The sequence below is a fragment of the Homo sapiens genome, chromosome 14, assembly GCF_000001405.40.
Source record: "Homo sapiens chromosome 14, GRCh38.p14 Primary Assembly".
Taxonomy (NCBI): Eukaryota; Metazoa; Chordata; class Mammalia; order Primates; family Hominidae; genus Homo; species Homo sapiens.
The window spans coordinates 89,436,534-89,452,435 of record NC_000014.9 but is presented as its reverse complement, the minus strand read 5'-3'; the positions used below and the strand labels follow the sequence as shown (position 1 = coordinate 89,452,435).

At 46.2% G+C, this 15,902-nt stretch overlaps 1 protein-coding gene across 1 annotated transcript in view, besides 4 other annotated features; it reads left to right on the top strand.

The window, feature by feature from the left end:
- Positions 1-15,902, top strand: part of FOXN3 (forkhead box N3) — a 462,989-nt gene that overhangs the window by 166,730 nt on the left and 280,357 nt on the right. The gene's annotated exons all lie outside the window — the stretch shown is intronic.
- Positions 10,474-11,057: an enhancer, noted in NCBI's record as "OCT4-NANOG-H3K27ac hESC enhancer chr14:89907723-89908306 (GRCh37/hg19 assembly coordinates)". NCBI's record gives its function as "activates a minimal SCP1, AML or CMV promoter by ChIP-STARR-seq in naive H9 embryonic stem cells {active_cell/tissue: H9 hESC(naive)}" and the evidence as "EXISTENCE:reporter gene assay evidence [ECO:0000049][PMID:30033119]".
- Positions 11,097-11,391: an enhancer, noted in NCBI's record as "tiled region #349; K562 Activating non-DNase unmatched - State 22:ReprW". NCBI's record gives its function as "activates a minimal TATA promoter and a strong SV40 promoter by Sharpr-MPRA in K562 cells {active_cell/tissue: K562}" and the evidence as "EXISTENCE:reporter gene assay evidence [ECO:0000049][PMID:27701403]".
- Positions 11,097-11,391: a silencer, noted in NCBI's record as "tiled region #349; HepG2 Repressive non-DNase unmatched - State 23:Low". NCBI's record gives its function as "represses a minimal TATA promoter and a strong SV40 promoter by Sharpr-MPRA in HepG2 cells {active_cell/tissue: HepG2}" and the evidence as "EXISTENCE:reporter gene assay evidence [ECO:0000049][PMID:27701403]".
- Positions 11,644-12,227: an enhancer, noted in NCBI's record as "OCT4-NANOG-H3K27ac-H3K4me1 hESC enhancer chr14:89906553-89907136 (GRCh37/hg19 assembly coordinates)". NCBI's record gives its function as "activates a minimal SCP1, AML or CMV promoter by ChIP-STARR-seq in naive H9 embryonic stem cells {active_cell/tissue: H9 hESC(naive)}" and the evidence as "EXISTENCE:reporter gene assay evidence [ECO:0000049][PMID:30033119]".

Genomic DNA, 15,902 nt, shown 5'->3' with positions numbered 1-15,902 from the left:
GTCGATGACGGTCTCAGCTGTGCTCATTCCGGCCCTCCCCAGCGTGCTGGGGAGATGGGGATGGGCTTGGCGAGGGAACCTTCCCACAGCAGCTCCACTCAGGCACCAGTCAAACCAAGGGTGGATACCTTATCTTTCCTTGGAAGGTTTGTTAGGGGATGCCCCTTGATTCAGAACCAAATTAGGAAGATGGTTCAGGGACCTCCTTGTTCTTAGAGTCTGGTCCTTCTGCCCCGTAGGATACACCCTGACTACACACCTTTACATCCTGGGGCACAGGGTCCCTGCTTTCCCCCCAGCCTGTTGTAGGGCATGACCCTGGTATCAGTCATTGACACACTAGTATGAACGTAAGATACTGGTTTTTAGACCCTAGGGAATAGAGGGTAAGGATCGAACTTCAGGTAGGGACTTTTAGGTTGTGGTTCCTTCTTACTCCCTGAACTCACTCAAGGGATGTGGTCCTCTCCTGAGGCTACAGTGAACTCAGGCGGCTGAGATGTTGAGACAGGGTAGGAGGTAGAGGAGCAGTGCCTTCCTCTGGGGTCGGTATGATTCCGGAAACACTGCAGCCCCCCGTTACCAGTGCTGGAGTGACAGCATTCAAAAATGTACTTGGTATCTTCTAAAAGCTTTTAAAATGGAAACCATATAGTATATATACACACAAGACTTCAACAATTTTCAAATGGATAGTGAGCGAATACAGTCGAAGATAAAAAAAGTGAATCTGAGGTGTTACGACTGGCAGGCAGGGGTGATGAAGATTAAACTTGCGGGGCTGTCACCCTCCAGCTACAGTAATTCTCCAGAATGAACACAGAGACACGGTAGCATCCCTGTCATCCTGACCAGTTCTCAAGCTGACATCTGCAAGGTGACAAGTTACTGACACGTAACACGAAGAACTGAAATTATATCAATCTAAAGGCCAGTCTCAGGAAAGCCTTGGTAAATTTTAACTTGGTCCGGAAGCTACATTTCCAGAAATGTTGACCGACGGGCCGTAGGCAGGTAGCCAGCGGTCATTTTTAGAGCTAGAGCCCTGGTTTGAGGAATTAGATTTCCTGACAATCAGGCAGGTTATTCAGAGCATCTTGTTACCAAACTGTCTTTGCCTTACCTTTGTAACCAGTCACATTGGATGTCCCCCAAGGCTGGATTGATGGTAGGGGGCCCGGCTACCATACCTCCTTGGGTGTCATCTGTGTCCTTACATCAGTAGCAAAATGAGAGACAGCTAAGGTATGTCTGATTTGGGGTATTCAGTCAACATTGGCTTTTCTTTCTTCCTTTCCTGTCCCTTGCCGATTAGCTTGAGATTTCTACTTGCAGAATCCTCTCACTTCTCGCTGAGAGACATCTTCGGCTTCACGGTCTGCCCCACAGATTGCAGATGGGGAAACTAAGGCAGTTATTCTTTAAACCAAGGGTAGGAGGATGTTGCCTCTAGGCTATGCAATGGATAGGTGTCCCATGGATACCTAGGAAGGAATTCACCCTGGGGGGCCTTTGTGGCATGCCACATGTCCTAGATTAGTTTAACAGGCAAGTCTTGAAAGTTATTTCCATGCAAGGCACAGGGAGCAAAGGGAGGCCGAGGTGGGCGGATCACCAGATCAGGAGATCGAGACCATCCTGACTAACATGGTGAAACCCCGTCTCTACTAAAAATACAAAAAATTAGCCAGGTGTGGTTGTGGGCACCTGTAGTCCCAGCTACCCGGGAGGCTGAGGCAGGAAAATCACTGGAACCCTGGAGGCGGATGTTACAGTGAGCCGAGATTGTGCCACTGCACTCCAGCCTGGGCGACAGGGCGAGACTCTGTCTAAAAAAAAAAAAAAGGAAAGATGAAGTCGAGAATGTTATTTTTTTCTGAGCTGGAAGGAACTTTAAAGAAGAGCTATTCCTGCCCCTCGTTGGCAGATGAAGACACTTAAGTCCAGGTGTCCATCATGGTGTTTAACATGCCTATATTATCTGCTAAGGGGGCATTCTACGGAGGCACATTTTATACTAGGTAACTTTACTGAATTGAATAGTGTCCCCCCAAAATTCATGTCTGCTTGGAACCTCAGAAATGGGACCTTATTTGGAAATAGGGTTTTTGCATGTATAATTAGTTAAGACAAGGTCACCATGGATTAGGTTGCCCTAAATCCAATGATTGGTGTCTTAATAGAAGAGGAGACAGAGATTCAGGTACAACAACATTGGGGAAGGCTCATGTAAGGGTAGGAGCTCTAAGGCAGACTTGCAAGAGCAGAGAGTGTCAAGAGCTGCAGGGTGACTCCACTGCCCAGACTGGTCCAGTGTCATTGCCCCTACAGAGTAGAAAATGGAGCGGATGGGCCATTGGCTCTGACTCCATGCAACAAGTGGGTCCCACCAGCACTGTCAGTGGCTTAGGAACAAGGTGGCTTGACCAGTGCGGCTTGAGTGACAGAGATGTCCTCTTGTTCATCTTCTGCTCTGTCTTCTTTCTGAACCACCCACTCCCACTCCTGGCCCCCATTGTCTCTTCCCCTTAAGTCATCTGACCTAAGACCAACTGGGTTTCTTTAAAAGGGCAGTGTTCTGGCTCTCCCCATGAGCTCCCCCTTCCTAGAGGCTGCCTGATGGAAAACTCCCCTTCAGTTGAGGAGGGAGGGAGGGGGGCAAAGCTGTCAGACCTCCGTGGGGAGTTGGCTGAATTGTATGCATATGGGGTTGTGGATCTGGCAAGCTACTCACCCACTGCTCCAAACGAGATTGCAAAATGTCCTATAAGTTGGCCTCCTGCCCCCCAAAAACGTGGTAATTCCAAATGTCACCTTGGCATTTTCTTCTCAAATAAATTCTGTCTTGTTCATATCACAAGAAAACTGGAAACATGGACTTCAGAACTTCTGTGTTTATTTCTCAGTCCTCTGATTGACTTGCTGTGTGACATGTTGAACTATTAAATTTCTTTCATGGATAAATGTGAACATGGGCTTGGAGATTTTTATCTGTTGAGTACTGGAGACTCGGGGTTTGAGACAAAGAAAAGAATTTGGACCTCTGTATTGTGTAGGTATGTGTATGTAAATATAAGAAGAGGATATAAGGCAAAGGGAAGCTCATATTAATTGATTTTGAAGAGCCATATGGACTTTTAAGAAATCACAGATGGTTCAGAAGGTTAGGAGATAGCCTGCTGGCATTGCCACCAGAAACTTAGGTATGGGGAAGGTTTGGATAGAAGAGCTGTGTTCAATCAGTAAGCCAAAAAGCAGACCTCAAAACAAAGGAATACATTGAATTTAGAGGGTACTTTGTCTGTCAGAACACATGAAAGATTTTTGTGCTTTAATTCCTTGTAAAGTTCCTGTAACACACAAGAGAGATGCAGAAATCATCCCACTTTGAAGATGGAGAAATGAAGACCCAGAAGGTAACCTTGACCCAATAATTTTGTGACAGAGGTGGGATTTGAATCCAGGATTTCTTTTCTTTCTTTTTTTTTTTTGAGACAGTGTTCTTGCTCTGTTGCCCAGGCTGGAGTGCAGTGGTGCAATCACAGCTCTCACTACAGCCTTGACTTCCCAGGCTCAATTGGTCCTCCCACCTCAGTCTCCTGAGTAGCTGGGACTACAGGCGCCGCACCACCCCATCTGGCTAGTTTTTGTATTTTTTTTTTAGAGATGGGGTCTCCTGATGTTGCCCAGGCTGGTCTTGAACTCCTGGGCTCAAGCCACCCTCCTGCCTTGACCTCCCAAAGTGCTGAGAATACAGGTGTTAGCCACCGCACCCCACCCAGGATTTCTTATGTAGAGAATATAAGTAACTTTTCATCTTTTGCCCTGTCAGACAGGGTCATTGTGAAAAATCAGTGATTTCCCAGGGCAATCAACTCTCAGCCCTGTGGGAGGAGAGAGGGAGAAGCAGTGGGCAAAGGGGAGGAGGATCAAGCTGGTGATCACGTTTGTATCCTGAGTGCCTTGTGTACAGGATGGTGTGGTGCAGGGAGGGTGCATGTGGGTGTTCGAGCCTCTTCCTTGCTGACATGGTCCTGCTGACTTCCCAGTGAGCACCCACCTTATGCAGATCCTGGGCTGGGAACTTTAAGCTTCAGGATCTATAGAGCTCCATTTTCTTCCCACAAATCACCTCCTTGACCTGTGTGTGTGGGCGTGGGGCGGGAAGAAATGATATGAACTCTTTGATCAATACATTCATTTGGAATTTATTTAGCTGATTTTATATGAGGAAGAACCCAACTTTTTCTAAGAAACAAATATGAAAAGTGTGTTTTGAGGCTAACAGTATATCTTTAATGTGTACATGTAAGAAGAAAGGCATCGGCAGGCACAGTGGCTCACGCCTGTAATCCCAGCACTTTGGGAGGCCGAGGCGGGCGGATCACGAGGTCAGGAGTTCGAGACCAGCCTGACCAACATGGTGAAACCCCGTCTCTACTAAAAATACAAAAATTAGCTGGGCGTGTTGGCAGGTGCCTCTAATGCTACTTGGGAGGCTGAGGCAGGAGAATCGATTGAACCTGGGAGGCGGAGGTTGCAGTGAGCCGAGATGGTGCCATTGCACTCCAGCTTGGGCAACAGTGTGAGCTCCGTCTCAAAAAAAAAAAAAAAAAAAAAAGGAAGAAAGGCATCAGGAAACCACTGCGGATGATGACTTTCAACTGCAGATATTTACAGACAAGTCAAGCAAAACAGACTTGGTAGCAGAGAGACCCAGATTTGGTGTGGGTCACTGTTTATGTGGAAAGACTGGGTTTTTTTGTGCGGCCCTTGGGAGCCTGCCGGTCTCCTAGGCATGGGGTGTGTTTCCTAGTAGAGTATATATTTGGATGCTGGGAGTTGGTACTTCTCCTCGTGGCAATATTAGGTGCCACACAGTGTTTTTCAACAGAGAGGATGTCAGAGGGAGGGCTGGTGAAAGTTCAGAAAGACACTTTATACTATGTGGGGTTGCTGGATATCAGAGTGAACTTTGAGTCTAGCCCTCAGTTTTTCATTAAAACACCTGCTGAAGGATTTCACAGTTCCTTCCCGCCGCCCACCTTCTTAACTCACATACTCATCTCTGTGGAGAAAACTAGGCGTTCACTCTCCTGTATGACTGGTGGAGGAAGTAAATGAAGATTGTCTTTACAGAGACCAATTTGGCATCAGGTATCCAAGGCATTACAACGGGAATACCCTTGGACCCAGCAATTCTGCTTTTAGGAATTCGTTTTTTTTTTTTTTCCTTTTTGTGACGGAGTTTTGCTCTTGTTGTCCAGGCTGGAGTGCAATGGCGCGATCTCGGCTCACTGCAACCTCTGCCTCCCGGGATCAAGCGATTCTTCTGCCTCAGCCTCCCCAGTAGCTGGGACTACAGGTGCATGCCACCACACCCGGCTAATTTTGTATTTTTAGTAGAGACGGGGTTTCTCCATGTTAGTCAGGCTGGTCTCGAACTCCCGACCTCAGGTGATCCACCCGCCTTGGCCTCCCAAAGTGCTGGAATTACAGGCATGAGCCACCGTGCCCGGCCCAGGAATTCATTTTAAGGAAATAGAGATCTGTACAAGATATATTAATGAATCTGGCTGTTCATTTGGCCTTGTTCATAATAGTGGAAAACTGCAAATAACTTAAATATCCAAAAAGTGGCAAGTGGCCAAACCATGGGTCATTCACTCACTCTGCAGTTTATTGAATGCCTACTATGTGCCAGGCACCTGGTAGGTGTGAAAAGTGTGTAGTGACAACCAAGGCAGATATGGTCTCAGCCCACATGGAGCTCACAATTTTGTTGTTGTAGAAACAAATTTCATACAATATGAAGTAGAAAAAAGTGGAGTACTAAGTGTATTTACAGTGTGATTCCATTGTTGTTAAATAAATAGAAAAACTCTTTTCTAAGTTGTCCACAGTGGTCATTATGATTTTTGTAATTTCTTAAAAAAGTGACTTTTAGGGACAGGTACAGTGGCTCATGCCTGTAATCTCAGCATTTTGGGAGGCCAAGACAGGCGGGTCACTTGAGGTCAGGAGTTTGAGACCAGCCTGGCCAACATGGTGAAACCCCGTCTCTACCAAAAACACAAAAATTAGCCGAGCGTGGTGGCGCATGCCTGTAATCCCAGCTACTCGGGAGGCTGAGGCAGGAGAATCGCTTGAACCCAGGAGGTGGAGGTTGCAGTGAGCCGAGATTGGGCCTTCGCACTCCAGCATGGGGAACAGAGTGAGACTCTGTCTCAAAAAAAAAAGAAAAAAAAAAAAAAAAAAGACTTTTAGGAAGGAGAGAAAAAGAAGGAATCAGACCTGGGTTCTAGACCCAACTCTTCCTTAAAATTTTTTTTTTTTTTTTTTTTTTTTGAGGCAGGGTCTCGCTCTGTTACCCAGGCTAGAGTGCGGTGGTATAATCACAGCTCACTGCAAGCTCAAGTGATCCTCCCACCTCAGCCTTCCAAGTAGCTAGGACTACAGGTGCATGTCCTCCACCCCCGCCACCCCCCACCATGCCTGGCTAATTTTTAAAGTTTTCTGTAGTGATAGCGTCTCATTATGTTGCCCAGGCTGGTCTCAAACTCCTGGGCTCAAGGGATTCCACCACCTGGGCCTCCCAAAGTGCTGGGGTTATAGGTGTGAGCCACCATGCTCAGCCATCTTCCTTAAACTTGTGGTGAGACTTTGAATGAGTCAGAGGACCACGCTGAATTTCCTCCACACAGTGTGGGAGAGACCTCTGTGGCCTCCAGCCCAGGTTTTGAGATCTCAAACTCTGGTCTCTTCTGAGGACCCTGGGGGATTTTACGGCAGTGTGAAAAGGCCTGGAGTTTTCCCCAGGAGGCAGGACAGCAGCCAGGCTGCCTTGCTGAAGCCCTAATCCCTGGGCACTTTTGGTCTCCAGGGCCCAGGTCCTCCAGGAATCTGGTGATGTATTCAACTGGGGAAATGAAAAAGAGTTCCTGTATTAGCCATATGATAATTAAATTAAGGAAGTGCCTCTTGCCCAGCAAATAAAAACAAGGCATGATTGGTGTACCTGGCCTAACTTGCTTACCCAAATCTCACTGCACCCCAGGCAAACAAAATGACAGCAGCTCCATTGATTGAGCCTTACACAAGTGCCCAACACTGTACTTTGGGGACATTTTCCTAGTTAAGGGTCATGACACTGCTTGAAATAGGTAGTCACCATCCCCATTTTACAGATGGGGAACTCAAGTTCAGAAGTCGGGTATACCCGAGGATACTAGAGTAGCAGAGGCTGGAATTCAAACCCTAGTCTGCTTGCAAGCAACTTTTTTTTATTTTATTTTATTTTTGAGATTGGGTCTTGTTCTGCTTGTTCTGTCGCCTAGGTAGTCAGGAGTGCAGTGGCTCAATCATGGCCCACTTCAGCCTCAACCTCCTGGGCTCAAGCGATCTCCCATTTCAGCCTTCTGAGTAGCTGGGATCACAGGCATGTGCTACCATGTCCAGCTAATTTTTGTATTTTTTTTGTAGAGATGGGGTCTTGCTATGTTGCCCAGGCTGGTCTTGAACTCCTGGGCTCAACGGATACTGCTGCCTCGGCCTCCCAAAGTGCCGGGACTATAGGCGTGAGCCACTGCACCTGGCCTTGAAGCAACATTTTAAATCTCTGCTCTGAACTGCCTCCCAGACTAAGAAGCAAGTTCCACTGCAGCCATAAAAACAGATGTCTAAAGCTAGGGAATGTGTGATGGGTGTTGTAATCCATCAAGTGACAGAACATCGGGAAGCTGCGGAATATAGAGACTTAGGAAGGGCAAAATCTTATTTCTGATGAAACCTGATACAGAGAAAGCTACTTTAGCTGTTTTTCTGTGGGGTTGTAAATGATAAAATTGGGTTTTGACAGAGAGAGATACAGCCGCCTTCATGCTCACTATAATAACCGTTTCTCCTACTTGTGATTAGAAATCAAAGGCCAACTATTACACCTTATAAACCTATACCTCTTGAAAGAGTGATAACTTACACTAAGGCCTGACCTATGTTGTTTCTTTTTTTTTTTATGTGAAATATTTTACTTGCTGGGCTCCATTTTGCTTATTTAGCAGTGATTAACAGATAGTAAAACATATGAGATACTAGGGATACAGAGGAAAATATAAGTTAAAATAAAGAATTGGTTTCTTCCCCACCGCCCCCGCCCATCAAAAGAATGTTCCAGTATGACAGCTATTTCCTGTGTTTCAATTTCAATTCCTCTATATTTCAGTTTCTTCAGATTCATGTTATATAGTATGATCAGATTAATCTTCTAAAATACCACTTTCATAATGCCATCTCCACCTCTCTCTCCCATCTTCTCTGGAACATTTAATGGCTCCCCATTGTCTAGGATAAAATACAAACTTATGGGTTTAGATTTCGGATTTCTTCATAGTCTGCTTCCAAGTATGCTTTTTTTTTTTTTTTTTTTTTTGACAGAGTTTCATTCTTGTTGCCCAGGCTGGAATGCAATGGCATGATCTTGGCTCACTGCAACCTCCACCTCCTGGGTTCAAGCAATTCTCCTGCCTCAGCCTCCTGAGTAGCTGGGATTACAGGCATGCACCACCATGCCTAGCTAATTTTGTATTTTTAGTAGAGACAGAGTTGCTCCATGTTGGTCAGGCTGGTCTTGAACTCCCGACCTCAGGTGACCCGCCCACCTTGGCCTCCCAAAGTGCTGGGATTACAGGCATGAGCCACTGCGCCCGGCCCCAACTTTACCTTTGCAACCATCTTTCCTGACAGTCCCATGAGGGACTCCTACTCAGATGAATTGGTCCATTTCTTGGTTCTCTGAATCTGCTCTTAGGTTTCCTCACTTTGAGCTTTTGTTTTACTGTGCCTGCCAGTAAAGAACACGGTAGAATATTCTCCCCTCCCCTTTCCTTTCTCTGAAGTTCTGCCCTTCCTCCCAGGCACTATTTGTATTTTTCCTTTTTTGAAAAACCAAAACATTCCTTGAATATCTCAGCCTGTGGTGATGAGCTCAGTTTCCCTTATCACATATTGTCTTTAACTGAAGTCCCATGTCCTGGAGGGCTACAACCAGCTCAGTGCCCTGCCTGTCCCAGGGGCTCCATAAACACCAATGAAAACAATATGCACAGTACAGCTGGCTAAAAAGGAACACTTTTTGTGCCAGCCATAAAATATGGCTATACCAAGGGAGGACCTCTTTCCCTTCAGAAAACAAATAGCCAGTTTTCCCTGTTGCACGTTTAAAATGCATATTCTGTGGTATTAGCTAATTATTTGTCATGCAGTTACCACTCATGACTAGTCCTGTTTTATGAATGAAATGGAAGCAGAGAGATGAAAATACTGGCATGACCTCACCAGTATTTTACTTGCTGGGCTCCATTTTGCTTATTTGCAATTTGCTGAGCCGTTGGCAGAAACAGCACTTGAACCCAAGTTTCCTTCTGCTATTGTTATCCTCTCTCCTTTAGAGCAGGTGTTGGCAAACCTTTTCTGTAAAGGGCCAGAGAATAAATAGTTCAGGCTTGCAGGCTATATGGTCTCTGTTGCAACTGTAGTATTCTGGCACTGTAGTGTGAAAGCACCTAAGACCATTCACCATTTTGGTTTGAACACTGAGCAGGCCCTCCAGTTGGGTGTAGGCTAATGTGTAAATTACATCCATGGCTGGGAAAGACTGGCTGGTTGGAGTAAATACTGGCTGGTTGGAGTGAAGACTGGCTGGTTGGGGTAAAACTGGGAAGTTGTAGATCTTCAAGCAGTAGACAGCCAGTCATCCCGTGGGCCATGGACATGGGCTGTGGTCACAAGGGAGACATGTTGGGGACACACTGCATACAACTCAGGGATCCGTTGTTTCCCAGAGCACATCCATCAGTCTCTCACTTGGCAAAGATTTCTAAGGCTTACTAGCTGCTGGGCAGACTGTGCCTGTTTAGCTTGCTCAGAAGATAGGAGTCATTTTGGCCAGTGGCAGCGCTGGGTGCAGTTATAGGAGACCTCAGCATGTGACATTCACTGCCATGCACTGTCTTCAGCCGAGAGAGCAGACCTGTTTCCCAAGATTGAACCTGTTAACTAAGTTCAGACACAGGTGTAGCAAATCAGAAAGCCTGTGCATTAATTTACAGTGACAACTATTACTGCCTGAAAGTGGCTTGATGAGCGTGGGAAAAGGGAAGGGAAGGTTGGATGATTTGAATGTTGAGTGTCATTGGAAAGGTCAGCCAGTTTCACCCGGGCGCGGTGGCTCACGGCTGTAATCCCAGCACTTTGGGAGGCTGAGGTGGATGGATCATCTGAGGTCAGGAGTTCGAGACCAGCCTGACCAACATGGAGAAACTCCATCTCTACTAAAAATACAAAATTAGCCAAGCGTGGTGGCGCATGCCTGTAATCCCAGCTACTTGGGAGGCTGAGGCAGGAAAATCGCTTGAACCTGGGAGGCGGAGGTTGCGGTGAGCCGAGATCATGCCATTGCACTCCAGCCCGGGCAACAAGAGGAAACTCCATCTCAAAAAAAAAAAAAAAAAAAAAAGTCAGCCGGTTTCAGCCCCCTGTGTAACTCAGCATTGGTGCTGAGATCCCAACCTCAAGGCCAGGGTTAATGCTGCCAGTGTGCTGGGTGGGGCTTGGAAGAGCTGTCACCTGTGTGGAATCCATAGGGACCCTCCAGGATCCCAACTTCCTGCCTACTTCCACCCCCCTCCCTCCTTTCAAGAGGACGCTTTATTTCATAGATATGTTAATGCATTCCACTTGGCAGGTTTGGACCTGAGCTCTTTCTGTCTCTTTCTTGGGGACTTTGCATATCCATACCCCAATCTGGTAGCCCTTGGTCCAACCCTGCGGAAGGATGATGCCCTTTCTGTTCCAGCTAGTAGGGTGTCTGGGGCAGAGCCTAGACCCTAAAAGTGATTAAGAGCGCCTGTAATGATCAGCGAGGCTATTTTAACAGTATAAGATAAAGGCAATGTGTTCCGTTGGTTCCCTGTGTTCCTCTTGCCCCGGCTTATTACTGCCCCAAGAAGGTAAATCACAAATCACCTTTCAGTTTCATCCTTTTTAACGTAAGGTGAATGGTATGAAAAATTTAGCAGGTTCAGGTCTCTGCAGGGAGGATGGGTTACATAGGGTTCAGGTAATTGGGAGGAGGGTTTTCCAGGAGAGACTGGTGTTAGTGAATGGAGTCGTTGGGGAGTTCTTCAGTCACAAAGCATTATGCAGATGCAGTTGTTGTTGTTATTCTGAATCGAGGCAGGGAGGAGGGAAAGGGCCCAGCAGGTTGGGACAGTGCAAAGGCCTCTGGGGGAGTTGGCCTGAAGGCTGAGAGATAAGACTTTGGGGAAGGGCAGGGTTGGGGAGGAAGGGAAGCCGGAGCCTCGGCCACTTTCTCATACTTAATTCAGGGGTTCCTTTTGTGCATTCAGACCTGTGCCCATCCTCTCTCCTAAAGAGGTCAGCATCCAGCCCCTCTTCATGGCTTGGACACGTGAACCCACCATTGCCATCATGTCTGCCTTGCTACAGCCTAGTTAGCATCACCTGAAACCATAAATAACATCAAAGAAAAGAGCCTATTACTAACCCACTGCAGAGTCCCACTGTTGCCCATTGACAGGTTGACAGGGGTTGAACGCACTGCTTTGCAGTGTACTTTTCATGGCATCTGTGTGAAGAGACCACCAAACAGGCTTTGTGTGAGCAACAAGGCTGTTTATTTCACCTGGGTGCAGGTGGGCTGAGTCCGAAAAGAGTCAGCGAAGGGAGATAAGGGTGGGGCCGTTTTATAGGATTTGGGTAGGTAAAGGAAAATTACAGTCAAAGGGCGTTTGTTCTCTGGCGGGCAGGAGTCGGGGTCGCAAGGTGCTCAGTGGGGGTGCTTTTTGAGCCAGGAAAAGGACTTTCACAAGGTAATGTCATCACTTAAGGCAAGAACCGGCCATTTACACTTCTTCTGTGGTGGAATGTCATCAGTTAAGGTGGGGCAGGGCATATTCACTTCTTTTGTGATTCTTCAGTTACTTCAGGCCATCTGGGCCTATACGTGCAAGTCACAGGGGATGCGATGGCTTGGCTTGGGCTCAGAGGCCTGACAGTACTGAAATAGGGGTCTCTCTGCTCCATGCGTTTGAGATATTCTGGTATCCCCAAGGCCTATAAAGGTTACCAGGAGGCTGCTGCTGCAGCCAGAGGCCAGGAAAGCACCCCTAGATCAGAGAAGGGGTGGTCTTTTCCTTTTCTTGCCTTAGTAGGGGTAGGCAGGCCAAGAAGCAGCACTGGTGGGAGTAGTGCCAAGTCTGCCTCTTAGCTGGATAACCATGGCAGGTCATTTTAACCTGCTTGAGGCCCAGGTACCCCCTAGGTAATATGGGGATAATAGCACCGTTACAGGAAAGGGGTCCCAATCCAGACTCCAAGAGTGGGTTCTTGGATCTGGCACAAGAAATAATTCAAGGCGAGTCCATAGAGTAAAGTGAAAGCAAGTTTATTAAGAAAGTAAAGGAGGCTGGACGCGGTGGGTCACGCCTGTAATCCCAGCACTTTGGGAGGCCGAGGCGGGTGGATCACGACGTCAGGAGATTGAGACCATCCTGGCTAACACGGTGAAACCCCGTCTCTACTAAAATACAAAAAATTAGCCGGGCGTGGTGGCGGGCGCCTGTAATCCCAGCTACTTTGGAGGCTGAGGCAGGAGAATGGCGTGAACCTGGGAGGCAGAGCTTGCAATGAGCAGAGATCACACCACTGCACTCTAGCCTGGGCAACAGAGCAAGACTCCGTCTCAAAAAAAAAAAAAAAAGGAATAAAAGAATGGCTACTCCATGGGCAGAGCAGCCCTGAGTGCTGCTCATTGCTCATTTTTATGGTTATTTCTTGATGAGATGCTAAACAAGATGTGGATTATTCATTTCTCCCCTTTTTAGACCATATAGGGTAACTTCCTGATGTTGCCATGGCATTTGTAAATTGTCATGGTGCTGGTGGGAGTGTAGCAGTGAGGACGACCAGAGGTCACTCTCGTCACCATCTTGGTTTTGGCAGGTTTTGGCCGGCTTCTTTAATGCAAACTGTTTTATCAGCAGAGTTTTTATGACCTGCATCTTGTGCTGACCTCTCATTTCATCCTGAGACTTAGAATGCCTTAACTATCTGGGAATGCCGCTCAGTATGTCTCAGCCTCATTTTACCCAGCTCCTATTCATGATGGAGTTGCTCTGGATTACGTGCCTCTGAGAGTACCTACCTCAAAGAGCTATTGGCAGAGCTAGAGGAGCTAGTCTGTGTAAAGCTATGAGCCCAGCATATAGAAGGCACACACAGGGTTGGATGCAGGCTTTGTGTGGCCTGAAAGCCTATTCAATTTGGCAGGGGTGGGTACCTCTTTAAGAAAAGAATGTAAGGCCAGGCGTGGTGGCTCACGCTTGTAATCCCAGCACTTTGGGAGGCCGAGGTGGGCAGACCACCTGAGGTTGGGAGTTCGAAACCAGCCGACCAACATGGAGAAACTCTGTCCTACTAAAAATACGAAATTAGCTGGGCGTGGTGGTGCATGCCTGTAATCCCAGCTACTCAAGCTGAGGCAGGAGAATCCTTAGAACCTGGGAGGCGGAGGTTGCAGTGGGCCGAGATTGCGCCATTGCACTCTAGCCTGGGCAACAAGAGTGAAACATCGTCTCAAAAAAAAAAAGAAAGAAAAGAATGTAAAAGTACCAGATATAAGAGTGAGTATAGATTTCAAATGATGAAAGAAAACACAAGGAAGTATATGTTTAAGAAACTGACAACCTTACATCACAAAATGCAGAAAAATAAAATATGATTACTTGTTATCTGTTTGATATGTTACATTATTTTTCTTCCTACATATTTTAGGCTATATATTCTGATCATTTCTTCATATGACAATGATTTTGGAATGCCATTATCTCTAGAGAGAATAGAAGATAATTTTCAATTTTCTTATTCCTCCAGCCTGAATGGTTGGGATTTGTTCTTCACTATTGATAGCTAAGAAAAAAATTTGTAAGCTTCACAACTAGTTGTTGGTAACACCATGTAAACGTTTAGGACTACTCTCAAATTTGGGAAAACCTTAAGTTTCTTTCATATATAAGGCGTCAGATTTTATGGCATTTAAATGTTCTTGTACAATGACTCATCTTATTTACTGAAGGTGCTCATTCAGCACATTGCTGGGACCCATCCCAGGGCCCAAGAAGGGGCCAGTGGGAGTGAGGAGACTTGAGCTTTCAGCTTCAGTGTTTCATGGTCAGCCCTCTTGTAAGTCAGTTCTCAATAAACATTAACTAAATTATATTTGTATGATTTTTATTGACACTTTAATTTTCTAATTTTGGAATTACTAAAGAATGTGTTCTTATGCATGCTAAATATAATCTTAGTTAAATCTGTACAGCAGTCGTTCATTCATTATCATTTGTTAACCATCTACTTTGATCAACCAACTTCACCTTGATTGTTGGGAGCCTTCTGTGACATAAAGCAGATAAAACCCTAGCTCATTGTCTGTCATGTAGTAACCACTCAATAAACTTAGCCATTATGACTGTTGCAGATAAAGGGTTCTAGTCCTGACCCCCAAGAGAGGGTCCTTGGATCTTGCACAAGAAAGAATTCAGGTTGGGTTCCTACAGTAATGTGAAAGCAGCTTTATTAGGAAAGCAAAGGAATAAAAGAATGGCTATTCCATAGACAGAGCAGCCCTGATGGCTGCTGGTTGCCTATTTTTATGGTTATTTCTTGATGATATGCTAAACAAGGTGTGGATTATTCATGCCTCCCCTTCTTAGATCATACATGGTAACTTCCTGATGTTGCCATGGCATTTGTAAACTCTCATGGCACTGGTGGGAGTATAGCAGTCAATGCCTTAACTGTCTGGGAATGCAGCCCAGTAGGTCTCAGCCTCATTTTACACAGCTCGTATTCAAGATGGAGTTGCCCTGGTTCACACGCCTCTGACATGACCACCATCATCTGTCCATCAGCACCTGATCTTGGAGTGGCACTTGGGGATGTAAGGTTGAGATATTTGTCCCCCTTGGAGGTAGAAATGGGCCCAGGTTCAGGTTAAGGTCAGAGAGCTCAGCGGGTGTCATGTTTTGCCTCAGGTTCTAGACAGAGTTGTTCTCCTTCATTAACCATGGATTCCCTACAGTTAATCTCCACTCATGAATTCTCCATTCATCAACAATACTCTATTAACATGACCACATTTAGACATTAAGCCATACTGTTTTTTTTTGTTTTGTTTTGTTTTTTGAGACAGAGTTTTGCTCTTTGTTGCCCAGACTGGAGTGCAGTGGCGCGATCTTGGCTCACTGCAACCTTCCGTGTTCAATTGATTCTCCTGTCTCAGCCTCCCATGTTCAATTGATTCTCCTGTCTCAGCCTCCTGAATAGCTGGGATTACAGGTGTCTGCCACCACGCCTGGCTAATTTTTGTATTTTTAGTAGAGACGGGGTTTCACCATGTTGGCCAGGCTGGTCTCGAATTCCTGACCTCAGGTGATCCACCTGCTTCGGCCTCCCAAAATGCTGGGATTACAGGTGTGAGCCACCGTGCCTGGCCTAAGCCATACTTTTAAGTTCAGTGATAATGTATAATTTGGTACTTTTCTCCCAAATCTGTTTATTCCTATCAAATCTGGCCTCTAAACTTGTCAAACTATGGCTTTCTTTGTTGTTTAATGTTAAAGGCTTTACTTTGTGAACAGGAAGTCAAGAAACTGGATCCACCACTAACTCTCCATGGGTATCTGTTGGATGTTTTGATTGTAAGTGACCGAAAAGCCAGCTCAGGCTGTCTAAACGACAGGGGGATCTTGTTGATTTGTGCACTGAGTCCTAAGCTGCGGCTGCCCATTCGACGAACCCCATGCCTCTGGCGCAGACGATGGGGT